The sequence below is a fragment of the Homo sapiens genome, chromosome 10 (assembly GCF_000001405.40).
Source record: "Homo sapiens chromosome 10, GRCh38.p14 Primary Assembly".
Taxonomy (NCBI): Eukaryota; Metazoa; Chordata; class Mammalia; order Primates; family Hominidae; genus Homo; species Homo sapiens.
The window spans coordinates 4,859,390-4,873,800 of NC_000010.11; the positions used below are offsets into that span (position 1 = coordinate 4,859,390).

At 37.3% G+C, this 14,411-nt stretch overlaps 1 protein-coding gene and 1 pseudogene across 2 annotated transcripts in view, besides 3 other annotated features; one reads left to right on the top strand and one right to left on the bottom strand.

Annotated features, from left to right (window-relative positions):
- AKR1E2 (aldo-keto reductase family 1 member E2) overlaps positions 1-13,848 on the top strand; it is a 48,265-nt gene extending 34,417 nt beyond the window's left edge. The window contains exon 11 of the transcript XR_001747220.2: positions 13,825-13,848. The gene's annotated coding sequence lies outside the window, so the exon portion shown is untranslated. The remainder of the gene's footprint in view (positions 1-13,824) is intronic.
- Positions 7,290-7,565: a transcriptional cis regulatory region, noted in NCBI's record as "candidate enhancer chr10.180 targeted for multiplex CRISPR interference". NCBI's record gives its function as "positively regulates AKR1C1 gene expression with high confidence in K562 cells {active_cell/tissue: K562}" and the evidence as "EXISTENCE:mutant phenotype evidence [ECO:0000015][PMID:30612741]".
- Positions 8,248-8,542: an enhancer, noted in NCBI's record as "tiled region #12277; K562 Activating DNase matched - State 5:Enh". NCBI's record gives its function as "activates a minimal TATA promoter and a strong SV40 promoter by Sharpr-MPRA in K562 cells {active_cell/tissue: K562}" and the evidence as "EXISTENCE:reporter gene assay evidence [ECO:0000049][PMID:27701403]".
- Positions 11,256-11,783: an enhancer, noted in NCBI's record as "NANOG hESC enhancer chr10:4912837-4913364 (GRCh37/hg19 assembly coordinates)". NCBI's record gives its function as "activates a minimal SCP1, AML or CMV promoter by ChIP-STARR-seq in naive H9 embryonic stem cells {active_cell/tissue: H9 hESC(naive)}" and the evidence as "EXISTENCE:reporter gene assay evidence [ECO:0000049][PMID:30033119]".
- The window catches only part of AKR1C6P (aldo-keto reductase family 1 member C6, pseudogene), a 44,607-nt pseudogene continuing 42,473 nt past the window's right edge, over positions 12,278-14,411 (bottom strand). Inside the window, exon 11 of the transcript NR_026743.1 lies at positions 12,278-12,549. The product of NR_026743.1 is annotated as an aldo-keto reductase family 1 member C6, pseudogene (transcript). The remainder of the gene's footprint in view (positions 12,550-14,411) is intronic.

A 14,411-nucleotide genomic window follows, 5' to 3' on the forward strand; every position in this document is an offset into this window, starting at 1 on the left:
AGACATGGCACAGGATATACTGGATATAAGATAAGACATTGAGTAGTTATTTGATATGTGAGAGAAAGAAAAACAGTCAGAAATGCAAACAAAATCATGAGGCCTGGAAGAACACTATGGTCTTAAAAAGCAACAGTTTTTCCCCTCTGGCTAGAATTAGCATAGGAAAAGGAGAGGTGAGGCTAAAGATCTAAGTGTGGGGATACAATTCTGCCCGCACTTCTCATATTTCTGCCAATTCTGGGTTTTCTGAGCAAAGGCATTTACAGCCATTGTATGAGGTGAAATTCCAGGAAAGTGAAGAATAGGGTCAGATCTCTCTTTAGATATCTTAAGGTAAAAAGAGGAAGACTGTCCTTCCTTTCTCTGAAAAAGAATGGCTTACGTTACATGAGTGATCTCTCTCTGGAGAGGAGAATAGACAGGTCAGCAGTGGCTCTGTGTAAGATCAGAATTTTCTAATTTTGTGGTGTCTCCCTTAGAATGCACTCCATGCATGTGCAGGTGCCATTTGGCCCTCATGGAGTTGACCTGTGGGAATTGGGGATCGAGGCACCAGATGGGGCTCTGGCTGCTGCTTTTGAAGAGTAGTGAGCCATCTTAGCTCCTGAGGCAGGGCCCTTGTGTCTTCCGCCAGTGTCTGTCTATCTATTGTCAGCAAGTATGACTGTCAGGAGCTGACTATTATATTTCTACTGGGGCAAAAACCTCAGATCCTTTCCAGTTCCTGATTTAACAGTTGGCAAGGCCTACACTATCCCCCCATGTTCCAGGCCAGTGAACTTAAACTTTAACTGACAGGAAATCTTTACAGAGATAAGTCATGATATTGGATTTGTGTTTTTAAAATAATGAGTTAGAGGCTGGGGGTAGAAGATGAGTCCATAGGGCACTAGGCACCTTTGAGGTCAAGAATATGTCTTCTCTCTTCACGGTGCCATTGCAATCTTCTGACAAATAGCCCATCCAACTGCTTCTTCGTTTTTATAGACAGAAGCTGAATCTATGTGGCAAGAGCCAGTTTTGATAGCTGTTGTGATGGACTCTTCATACTCTCTCTGAGGAACCTTTATGACCAAGGACAGCATTGTTGTCCTGTCTGATTCACACAAGGGGAACCTCATAGTGGCTGCCAACTTTTTTGATTGCACCTCTATCAGTAAAGCTTTTTGAATTTGCATAGAAATATATCCATGTTTATTGATTTATTACTATATGAATGTACTGCTTTACTAATACGATGTATACATTATTAAATACTCTTAGAGCATCTGAAGATTAAATTTAAAAATCGAAAAATAAGAGCTTTATTAATAACCCAAACTCTGTGCTCTCTCTAATATATTGTGATTAATACCAAATTCTTTTCAAAGCAATGGTATGAATATGCTTTATTGGCTTTTTTTGTTGGTCCTTCTTGATTTAATGCTTTTTGACCTAGAAATGTGAACCTTGGGATTCTACATTCAGTTTAATTTGAAATACGGTTTTCATGGCAGTCAACTGCAGCTAAGGATGCCTCATAGAGATGCTTCGATGCACATAGGGGAAGTCCGTCTTTGGGTCCTCTTCATAAATCATGGTATGGTTTTCTCAGTCCCCTTTGCCATTTGTATAATTTTTGAAATTTGACCAGTACATTATAATCTCCTCTGATATGCTCTTGGTATGTAATTGTAATCAATCAGGCTCAAAACTTACAAAACATTTTATTTGGAAGATTTTTAAACAGATTAAAACACTCTATCCAAAACTTTTAAAGTGTTCAGGAAATTTTTGTAGGTGCCACACTTCTATCATTTTAACAACAAAATCTCACAGTGACAGAAATATTTTCGGACATCTATTTCAACCTTAAGAAAGAAGATTTAATGTGTTATTTAATTAAAAAAACTCTAAAAACTAATCATCATCCCAGAGCACATTAGCAAATATAGAACATTTTTTTGGGAGGGGAGTAAAAATGTGCAATATGTCTTCTTCTTCTTTTTCTTTTCTTGAGATGGAGTCTCACTCCATTGTCCAGGATGGAGTGCAATGGCGTGATCTTGGCTCACTGCAACCTCTGCCTCCTGGGTTAAAGCGATTCTTGTGCCTTAGCCTACCAAGCAGCTGGGATTACAGTTGCACCACCGCGCCCAGCTAATTTTTGTATTTTTATTAGCGATGGGGTCTCACCATTTTGGCCAGGCTGGTCTCAAACTCCTGACCTCAAGTGATCCTCCCGCCTCGGTCTCCCAAAGTGCTAGGATTACAGGCATGAACCACCGCGCCTGGCCAATATGTCTTTATAGTCAAAAATTCTTTGAAATAATTTACCATAGATAAGTGAACTTTTTGTGTGTGGCCTAAAAGATATATTCCTTCACTCACTTTTTGATGGGGTTGTTTGTTTTTTTCTTGTAAATTTGTTGGAGTTCTTTGTAGATTCTGGATATTAGCCCTTTGTCAGATGAGTAGATTGCAAAAATTTTCTCCCATTCTGTAGGTTGCCTGTTCACTCTGATGGTAATTTCTTTTGCTGTGCAGAAGCTCTTTGGTTTAATTAGATCCCATTTGTCAATTTTGGCTTTTGTTGCCATTGTTTTTGGTGTTTTAGACATGAAGTCCTTGCCCATGCCTATGTCCTGAATGGTATTGCCTAGGTTTTCTTCTAGGGTTTTTATGGTTTTAGGTCTAACATTTAAGTCTTTAATCCATCTTGAATTAGTTTTTGTATAAGGTGTAAGGAAGGGATCCAGTTTCAGCTTTCTACATATGGCTAGCCAGTTTTCCCAGCACCATTTGTTGAATAGGGAATCCTTTCCCCGTTTCTTGTTTTTGTCAGGTTTGTCAAAGATCAGATAGTTGTAGATGTGTGGTATTATTTCTGAGGGCTCTGTTCTGTTCCATTGGTCTATATCTCTGTTTTGGTACCAGTACCATGCTGTTTTGGTTACTGTAGCCTTGTAGTATAATTTGAATTCAGGTAGTGTGATGCCTCCAGCTTTGTTCTTTTGGCTTAGGATTGACTTGGCAATGCATGCTCTTTTTTGGTTCCATATGAACTTTAAAGTAGTTTTTTCCAAATCTGTGAAGAAAGTAATTGGTAGCTTGATGAGGATGACATTGAATCTATAAATTACCTTGGGCAGTATGGCCATTTTCACGATATTGATTCTTCCTATCCATGCACATAGAATGTTCTTCCATTTGTTTGTATCCTCTTTTATTTTGTTGAGCACTGGTTTGTAGTTCTCTTTGAAGAGGTCCTTCACATCCCTTGTAAGCTGGATTCCTAGGTGTTTTATTTTCTTTGAAGCAATTGTGAATGGGAGTTCACTCATGATTTGGCTCTCCGTTAGACACACATAGGCTCAAAATAAAGGGATGGAGGAAGATCTGCCAAGCAAATGGAAAACAAAAAAAGGCAGGGGTTGCAATCCTAGTCTCTGATAAAATGGACTTTAAACCAACAAAGATCTAAAGAGACAAAGAAGGCCATTACATAATGATAAAGGGATCAATTCAACAAGAAGAGCTAACCTAAATACATATGCACCCAATGTAGGGGCACCCAGATTCATAAAGCAAGTCCTTAGAGACCTACAAAGAGACTTAGACTCCCACACAATAATAATGGGAGACTTTAACACCCCACTGTCAACATTAGACAGATCAACGAGACAGAAAGTTAGCAAGGATATCCAGGAATTGAACTCAGCTCTGCACCAAGTGGACCTAATAGACATCTACAGAACTCTCCACCCCAAATCAACAGAATATACATTCTTCTCAGCACCACACCGCACTTATTCCAAAACTGACCACATAGTTGGAAGTAAAGCACTCCTCAGCAAATGTAAAAGAACAGAAATTATAACAAACTGTCTCTCAGACCATAGTGCAATCAAACTAGAACTCAGGATTAAGAAAGTCACTCAAAACCACTCAACTACATGGAAACTGAACAACCTGCTCCTGAATGACTACTGGGTACATAACAAAATGAAGGCAGAAATAAAGATGTTCTTTGAAACCAACGAGAACAAAAACACAACATACCAGAATCTCTGGGACACATTTAAAGCAATGTGTAGAGGGAAATTTATAGCACTAAATGCCCACAAGAGAAAGCAGGAAAGATCTAAAATTGACACCCTAACATCACAATTAAAAGAACTAGAGAAGCAAGAGCAAACACATTCAAAAGCTAGCAGAAGGCAAGAAATAACTAAGATCAGAGCAGAACTGAAGGAGATAGAGTCACAAAAAACCCTTCAAAAAATCAATGAATCCAGGAGCTGGTTTTTTGAAAAGATCAACAAAATTGATAGACCACTAGCAAGACTAATAAAGAAGAAAAGAAAGAAGAATCAAATAGATGCAATAAAAAATGATAAAGGGGATATCACCACCGATCCCACAGAAATACAAACTACCATCAGAGAATACTGTAAACACCTCTATGCAAACAAATTAGAAAATCTAGAAGAAATGGATAAATTCCTCGACACATAAACCCTCCCAAGACTAAACCAGGAAGAAGTTGAATCTCTGAATATACCAATAACAGGCTCTGAAATTGAGGCAATAATTAATAGCTTACCAACCAAAAAAAGCCCAGGACCAGACGGATTCACAGCTGAATTCTACCAGAGGTACAAGGAGGAACTGGTACCATTCCTTCTGAAACTATTCCAATCAATAGAAAAAGAGGGAATACTCCCTAACTCATTTTATGAGGCCAGCATCATCCTGATACCAAAGCCTGGCAGAGACACAACAAAAAAAGAGAATTTTAGACCAATATCCCTGATGAAATTGACGCAAAAATCCTCAATAAAATACTGGCAAACCGAATCCAGCAGCACATCAAAAAGCTTATCCACCATGATCAAGTGGGCTTCATCCCTGGGATGCAAGGCTGGTTCAACATATGCAAATCAATAAACGTAATCCAGCATATAAACAGAATCGAAGACAAAAACCACATGATTATCTCAATAGATGCAGAAAAGGCCTTTGACAAAATTCAACAGCCCTTCATGCTAAAAACTCTCAATAAATTAGGTATTGATGGGACATATCTCAAAATAATAAGAGCTATTTATGACAAACCCACAGCCAGTATCGTACTGAATGGGCAAAAACTGGAAGCATTCCCTTTGAAAACTGGCACAAGGCAGGGATGCCCTCTCTCACCACTCCTATTCAACAGTGTTGGAAGTTCTGGCCAGGGCAATCAGGCAGGAGAAAGAAATAGAAGGTATTCAATTAGGAAAAGAGGAAGTCAAATTGTCCCTGTTTGCAGATGACATGATTGTATATCTAGAAAACCCCATCGTCTCAGCCCAAAATCTCCTTAAGCTGATAAGCAACTTCAGCAAAGTCTCAGGATACAAAATCAATGTGCAAAAATCACAAGCATTCTTATACACCAATAACAGAGTAAGTGAATTATAGTGTGTTCACGTTGAGTCCCTTGTGTGGGCCAGTCTTCCAACAAGGCTATCCTTCTTGTAATAACTTCCTTTCTTTTTGCAGAGATACAGTAATAAGTTCATGAGTGAAAAATGAAATATTCCTACATATCTATGTACCAAAATCCCAATTTGAATAAAGAGTTAACTATGAGTAAAACTACAGAAAAATTAGAAAGGAATATAGATGAATATTTGTTATTTGGCCTAAAAGTAAAGGAAGGAACGATGGGGTGTAAAAAGGGTGAATAAAGTTACTCTCTAACACATTAAAAACAGATATGTCCAAACTTCACATTAAACAAATTAAAAGTCAAATAACCATACTGCAAGAAAAACACTTCTATCTCATTTAAAAGACAAAACAAAAATAATACGTAAAACAGATCTTTTAAATCATTAAGAAAATGAAAAATTTAAAAAGATGGTATTGGAGTGATACTAGTAACTAACAATTATTGATTATAGTTAGTACCCTGTACTCTATATTTATTCCTCAGAATAATCCTTTGCACTGGGTACTGTTGATACCAATAACAAATTTTAGAAGACAGGTAGAAGTCAAGTAATTTGTCAAAGATTATAATAGATAGTAAACATTGAAGCTAGCATTTGAACCTGGGCCATAAAGTAAATGAACAGGTAATTTTCAGAAGAAGAAAATTCCAAAAGCCAGTAAGCAAATTAATGATAATTGAAATAAAAGTGAATCTGACAATGAATTTCCCTTTTCCCCACTCAAACTAGCAAAAGTAAAACATTGACAAGTGAAGAAAAAGAAAATCCCTCAATACATATTAAGTTTGTGGAAAAATAGCCCTTTCAGTGACTTTTGGTAGGACTATAAATTTATATAGGTCTCCTAGAGATAATCGGTATTAAGTTTCAAAATCTTTAAAAATGTGCATAATTATAAATTGGTAGGACTTGAGCCTTTAATTACTGAAGCTTAACAAAAAGAGTCCACCCCAACCCAACCGTTGCCACCACATGCTCAAGTTAGAGAGTTATGTTGCTAAAGAAAAATTGTATTCATCATTATTCATTTGGAATTCTGGGGGAAAATTTAAATTTTATGTTGAAAACAATTTCTAGAAAGGATTGTTTTCCCCTAGGGTTCTTTTGGTCAATCTCCTTCTCTCTCAAACTTACTGAATTCTTACTGTTTTGTAACTAGCAGTACCAAATCCCAGGACAGACGTGAAGTTTCTGTCATTCAGTTTCAGAGAACAGCATGTATATTGGGCCATTGTTTTTCACTGTCCAGGCTAAATAGGTCTGATTATATTTCAGCAAAGTGATCCTCTTTATCATTTCCACTTCCTCCTTCCTGTGCTCTGAGACAGATTTTATGTTTGAATTACATAATAAAAGGTAGGAGGGGTTAAATCTAGAGCCACATCCACATTCTTTTGACGGTGGACTAGAAAAGAATCCAAAGAGAGGACGCGTAGCACTGGAACCAGTTTTCTGGTTTTCTTTTAAATTAAACTGCATTTTGAGATGATTATAGATACACAGGAAGTTGCAAAAAATAATTCAGAGTCTGCCCTTTATTCAGATTCCCTGAATATTACCATCTTGCAAACCTATATAGTAAGTTATCACAAATGTAGCTGCCCAAGGGGTTCACCTTGCTTGCTGCCTAGGCAGAGCCAATTCATCAAGACAGGGAAATTGCAATAGAGAATGAGTAATTCACGCAGAGCCAGCTGTGCAGGAGACCGGTGTTTTATTATTACTCAAATCAGTCTCTCGGAGCATTCAGGGAGCAGAGTTTTGTTTTTGTTTTTGTTTTTTTTTTTTTTTGAGATGGAGTCTCGCTGTCGCCCAGGCTGGAGTGCAGTGGCGCCATCTCGGCTCACTGCAGGCTCCGGGAGCAGAGATTTTAAGGATAACTTGGCGGGTGGGGGGAAGCCAGTGAGCCAGGAGTGCTGAGTAGTTAGAGATGAAATCACAGGGAGTCAAAGCTGCCTTCTTGTGCTCGGTCATTTCCTGGGTGGGGGCCACAATATCAGATGAGTCAGTTTACTGATCTGAGTGGGGCCGGCTGATCCATCAAGTGCAGGATCTGCAAAATACCCAGGCACTTAGGAGCAGTTTACGGAGGGTCAGAATCTTGTAGCCTCCAGCTGCATGACTCCTCAACCATAATTTCTAATCTTGTGGCTAATGTTAATCCTACAAAGGCAAATCTAGTCCCCAGGCAAGAAGGAGGTCTGCTGTGGGAAAGGGCTGTTACCATCTTTGTTTAAACTATAAACTAAGTTACTCCCAAAGTTAGTTCAACCTACCATCAGGAATGAACAAGGACAACTTGGAGGTTAGAAGCAAGATGGAGTCAGTTAAGTTAGATCTCTTTCACTGTCTCAGTCATAATTTTGCAAAGGTGGATTCACAACCAAGATACTGATATTGATATTGTCTTAGACTTCTCCAGTTTTGGTTGCATTCCTTGGTGTCTGTGTGTGTGTTCACTGTTGTACAATTTTTCACACATTCACGTTTCCATCTCCACAGTCAAGGTACAAAACATTTCCGTCACCATGAGGGCCCTCCCTGTCACCATTTTCTAATTGCATTCAGCTGTCTTCTGCCTCTGCTGCCTCCTTAACCCCTGGCAACTAGTATGTTCTTCATTCCTATAATTTTGTTATTTTACAAATTCAGTATAAGTGGAATTACACACTATGTAACTTTTTTGGACTGGCATTCCTCTGTCACCACAATTACCTTGCCATTCAGCCAAGGTGTTGGATGTGCCAATAGTCAGTTTATTTTCATTGCTGAGTAGGATTGCATGGCAAAGATAACGCCATTCATCCGTTGAAGAACTTGACTAGTTTCTTTTTAACCCACAGTTCTAACATTGCTTTCAGCTCTGTGTAGCAGTGATAAGAACAGCGTTGGCCTTCCAGTGTTTTTCCTTCCTTTTCCAAGCCATGTGTTACTTGATGTGACTCATTGTCTGGGCTTTGTCAAAGCGAGAGGCAGCGTCCTCAGGGTCCGTCTTTCTTATCTTTGTAACGAAAACCTTGGAGCATTTCAAGTTTGCAGCTTTCCTATTTTGGTGACTCTTGAAACCTCACTGTGATATATATACTGCCCCCAGAGCAGGCACACTCTAATAATGGCTCCAGTTTTAAGATGGTGCAGCTTAGTAGGAGACTGGATCGTTGGGGGTTTGGGAAATAATGTGGGCTCTTTCTATGGAGTAATGCAGCTGTATAAACTCCAGGCAGCTTCCTAAACTGGGGTCAGGCCTGTAAATACTGTAAGATTCTCCACTATCAAAGACTACAGCAGTCTGTGGTGGCAATGCCAGCTTCTGGGTTCCTGTTGCTTACTTTTTTCCCACAGAGAGAAGTTCTTCCTGGTTCTGAGCTGATCCTGACTGGATGACAGAGTGGCAGAGGCAGCGTGTTTTATTCCTTTCTCTATATGGCCATCCTGAGTCTCTTTGCTCCACAGAGTTTCTCTCATCCATTATCTAAAGACTCTACAGCTCTCCTTTAGTTGCTCTGGTCAAAATGTAGTTGTTTCTTCATCGCTTTGGTCTGTTTTTGTGGGTGGGGAGAAGTGTAGGAACCTCTAGTCAGTTATCTTGCTGACATAAGCCCGTGGAATTTTCTATGTAGTCAATCACGTCACCTGCAAATGGAAACAGTTTTCTTTCTTGTGATATGTATGCCTTTTATCTACTTTTCTTGTCTTACTGTATTGGCTAAAACTTTTAGCACTGTGTTTAAAAAGAGTGCTGAGAGTGGACATCCTTGCTTTTTTCCCAGTCTTAGGGACAAAGAATTCAGCTTAGCTGTAGGTTATTGCAGATGTTCTTTATCAAGTTTAGAAAGTTATCCTGTAGTCCTATTTTCTGAAAGTTTTAATTATGGATGGATGTTAAATTTTGTCAAATGCTTTCACTGCATCAATTGATATGATCATGTGACTTTCTTCTTTAGTTTTTTAGTATGATGGATTATATTAACTGATTTTTGAACATTGAACCAGCCCTGTATCCTTGATATAAGCTATACTTGGTTTTTGTGTATAATTCTTTTTATATTTTTTTAAATTCTATTTGCTAATATTTTGTTGAGGATGTTCACATCTATATTTTTGAGAGATATTGTTCTTAGTTTTATTTCTTTCTTCCTTTCCGTTTTTGTCTCATTTTCATATTGGGGTAATGCTAGCTCTGTAAAATGAACTGGGAAGTGTTCCCTCCTCTTTTGTTTTCTGAAGCGATTGTATAGAATTGGTGTTAATTCTTCTATAAACATTTATAAGCAATCCCCAGTGAAATTGGACATGGAGACTTCTATTTGGGAGTTTTAAAATTATAAACTCAATTTAGTAATAGGGCTATTCAAATGATCTATTTTATGTTGGGTGAGTTGTGGTAGCTTGGGTATTTTTCAGGGGAATTGGTCCATTATATAACTTGTGAAGTGTATGTGTGGAGTTGTTTGTAGTACCCCATTACCATCCTGTTTATTTCTACAGGATCTATAGCATAATTCCCTGTTGCATTCCTTATGTTGGTAGTCTATATCTTCTCTCTTTTTTTATGTCAGTCTTGCTAGAAGCTTGCTTGAACTTTATCTTTTCAAACAACCAATTCTTTGCTTCATTTTTTTTCTCTGTTTTTTTCTTTTCAATTTCATTGATTTCAGCTCCTCTATTTATTATTTCCATAGTTCTGCTTGCTTTGGGTTATTTTGCTCTACCTTTTCTAGGTTCTTGAGATAAGAGCTTAGATAGTTGATTTAAGACTTTTCCCCTTTTTTCTATAAACCCTCCTCTTGGCACTACTTTAGCTGTGTTCTACACAATTTGATATGTTGCGTTTTTATTTTCATTCAGTTCAATGTACTTTTTTATTTCGCTCAAGACTTCCTGTTTTACCTGTGGATTATTTAGGAGTGTGTTGTTTAATTTCCAAGAGTTTGGTGACTTTCATGTTACTGTTCTGTTTTTGGTTTCTAATTTGATTCATTTTTCGTTGGATAACATACTCCGTATAATTTCAATTAATTTCTATTTGTTCAGGTTTTTATAATTTTGGTTATTTTCTATATGTTGTGGTTTGTTTTATGGCCAGAATATGGTCTGCTTGATTATGTGATTTGGGAATTTGAAAAGAATCTGTTTTGTGCTATTGTTAGGTAGAATGTTCTATAAATCCCAGTTAGATCCTGTTGGATGCAATTTGATTAATACATAGCATTTTTTGGTGTTTCTCTTTGTATAGCATTGGTTGCTATTGGTATTACATTACATACACACAATTATCACAGTGTATTGGTGTCATTATCTTATCACTTTGAAAGAAGTACAAAATCCTTACCTCCCTTCATGTTCCTTTACCCTCCCCCATTTATAATAGAATTTCATTACATATTTCTACCACATCCATTTAAAACCATATAAGACATTTAGTTTTTGTTTCAATTGCCAAACATCATTTAGAAAACTCAAGAGGGCAAGAACAATCTACTGCGTTTACCCATATTTTTGCTTGCATATTTGTTATTTTTTTCTTCCTGATGTTACAAGGTTCTATTTTTTTTCCATTTTCTTTCTGTTTAGAGAACTTACTTTAGCCGTTATTTTAGGTTAGGTCTTCTGGAAAAAAAATCTTTTATTTTACCTTCTGCAAATGCCTTGATGTCTCTTTTATTTTGAAAGATATTTTTGCTGGATACAAGATTCTGGATTGAAAATTATTTTCTTTCAGCATTTGAAAATTATTGTTACTTGCCTCCATGGTTGTTTGATGATAAACTCACAATTATTTGAATTCTTTTTTTTTTCTATAGGTTAGGTGACATTTTTCTCTTGCTTTTTCACAAGCTTTTCTTTTAGTTTTCATGCATTTAATTATGATGTGTCTTGGTGTGCATTTCTTTTGGTTTATATTGTTTGAAGATCACTTATCTTCTTACTCTGTAGGTTTATGTGTATTTCTAAATTTGAAAAGCTTTCAGCAATTAAAGTAGCCATTATTTCTCTAAGCACTTTTCCAGCCCACCCTTTGCTTCCTTTCTTTTCAGGATTTGATGGCATGAACGTTAAGTCTTTTGTTATAGTTCTACAAGTCCTTGAAGCTCTGTTCCTTTTCTTCTGTCTCTTTTCTCCCTGTTGCTCCTCTTGGATGATTTATATTGCTTTATCTTCCAGATCAATAATTATCTCCTCTATTTCTTATGTTATGCTATTGATTCCATTGATTAAAATTTTAATTTTGTGTATTGTGTTTTTCAGTTCTAAAATTTCCAAATCTGGTTATTCATTTATCTTCTATTTCTTTTCTAAAACTTTCTAATTTTTTATTGAAACTTTTTGTTTTTTCATTTGTTGCAAGTGTGTTTATAATTGTTTGTTGAAACATTTTTACAATGGTTGCTTTAAAATCTTGGTCAGATAATTATAATATCTTGATCATCTGGGTGTACCATCTGTTGCTTATCTTTATTTATTCAACTTGAGACCATCCTTGTTCTTGGTATGATAAGTAACTTTTAAAATTAAAACCTGGACATTTTGGGTGTTATATATTAAGTTTTACATTCATTTATAATATCTAATATATTTGTATAGTGTGGATAATTCACAGAAAAGAAAAAATGCTCAAGAACTACAAACAAGTAAAAAATGTAGATTTTGCAAATTTGAAGGTATACCAAATTATTAGCATTTTTTTGAGAGATTCACATCCATTGTGATCACCCCTTCCAGGGATGTCAGCATTTTAGCCTCAGTGAGATGGGAAAGAAACAAAAAAGCAAATGCCAAGGCTGCAGCAGATTAGGTTATTTCAAATACATCTTTATTTTGGCAGTTGTGGGGGTGGGGTGGGGGCGGGAATCAAGAGAAAACTAGGTTTAGATACTTTTATTTTCTGATCCGGGGTCTTAGGCCAACTTGTGACTGAGCAGGCTAATCAATCTGGAATAAACTAGAAAACTTCCCATCCATGAGATATTCTCTATTCATCTCAACCCAAATCAATAAACTCTGGAACAACCACAGACTCTTTTCTTTATATTCATCAAGAAATGGATAATCTGGGTGATGAGAAAAGCTGAAAAGGAAAGGGAAAGTCTTAGTCATTGTTTCTGGGCTCATAAAGACAGATTTCTGTTAAACTGGTGTGAGCCTACAATTAACACAGTTTTCTTTGTGAGTTAAGTACAAACCCAACTAGTTTTATGATAATAACATACTATTGCATGATGCTGTTTTGAATACACTGTGGAAAATAAATATACCTACACACGTGGGCACACATTCACAAATATACCAGTGCATTCCATTTTTGCAATATGTCATTCTACAGCTTGAGGAGATAAACTATTTGTGTTTATATTTTGAACCTCCAGGAGGGCAGAAACAAATTCTCTCTTTTTTAAAACAATGCTTAGTCTGATTTAATATATAAAGTTAATAAATATTTTAAGGTGATAATGAGGAAGGTGATAAAATTATTACTGTTCAATGTATGTCAAACATTCAGAAATGATTTGTCTATGACTTTTCTTGGGAGAAAATTTTATATTATACCTAGAGAGAGATACAGTGGTTAGAAGATGAAGTCACTTCAATGGGGTAGTTCCATTTTAGCAAGGGGGATACAAATTCTTTCTGTATATGAAGTAATAATTTTTGACATAGAAAATGCCAAGTCATTGAATAGTTATTGTTGATTAATATTACTGATATTTATTGTTAGGGGTTCCTGCCTGCATCTCCACTCTCTGTTACCCCTACCCTGTTTCTCATTTTATTATGTTATTTATTCAACCAATATGTATTGAGTACCCAGGGAGAGACTAGTTTAAGAACAAAAACAAAACAAAAACCCTGCCCTTAGAATCTAACACTCTAATGTGGTAAAGATAAAATAAGCTAAATAAACTAGTAAAATATATGGTGTGTAAGTTAGGGATATGTGTCAAGCACAAAAATAAATCAGAATAGAGAGAAAGGCTCTTCTAGGACGAGTTGCATTTTTAGATAAGTGACAGAGAAGGCATCATCGAGTGATATATGAGTGAAGACCTGAAGGATGTAAAGGAGTGAGCAATCCTGCTCTATGGGGAAAGAGATTTCTAGGCAGGGGGAATGGCCAGTGGAAAGGCCCTAAGACAGGCCTGACATATGTCAGTGATGTGGTTTGGCTGTGTCCCCACCCAAATCTCATCTTGAATTGTAACTCCCACAATTCCCATGTGTCGTCGGAGGAACCCAGTGGGAGGTGGTTGAATTATGAGGGTGGGTTTTTCCTGCGCTGTTCTTGTGATAGTGAATGAGTCTCACGAGATCTGATGGTTTTAACAACAGGAGTTTCTCTACACAGGCTCTCTTTTTGCCTGCTGCCATCCATGTAAGACGCGACTTGTTTCTCCTTGCCTTCTGTCATGATTGTGAGGCTTCCCCAGACACTTGGAACTGTAAGTCCATTAAACCTCTCTTCTTTTGTAAATTACCCAGTCTTGAGTATGTCTTTATCAGCAGTGTGAAAATGGACTAATACAGTCAGGAACAGCATGGAGGTCACTGGTGCTCCATTGGAGTCAAGAGTGGGGAGAATAGCAGGACAGGGACACAGAGAGTTAAGGGAGGGAGTGTCTATTGGCCCTTGTAGGTCTGTGTAAGGAATTTGGTCTCAACTCTGAGTGAGATGGCAGTCTCCCACATATTGAGGAGTTCCTGTGTACACCCTTTTTAACCTGTTCACTGTGGCTACTATGCCTGGTGCTGAAGTACAGAAGAGGGAGCACTACCAGGAGCCAGTTACTTTATCATAAAGATATCGGTATGAGTGTGGGGTGTGTGTGTGTGTGTGTGTGTGTGTGTGTGTGTGTCTGTGTGTCTGTGTGTATTGGGGAAGGGATTGCAGATACCAGTATGAGCCCAGTTACAGACATGATAAGTTGGAGATGC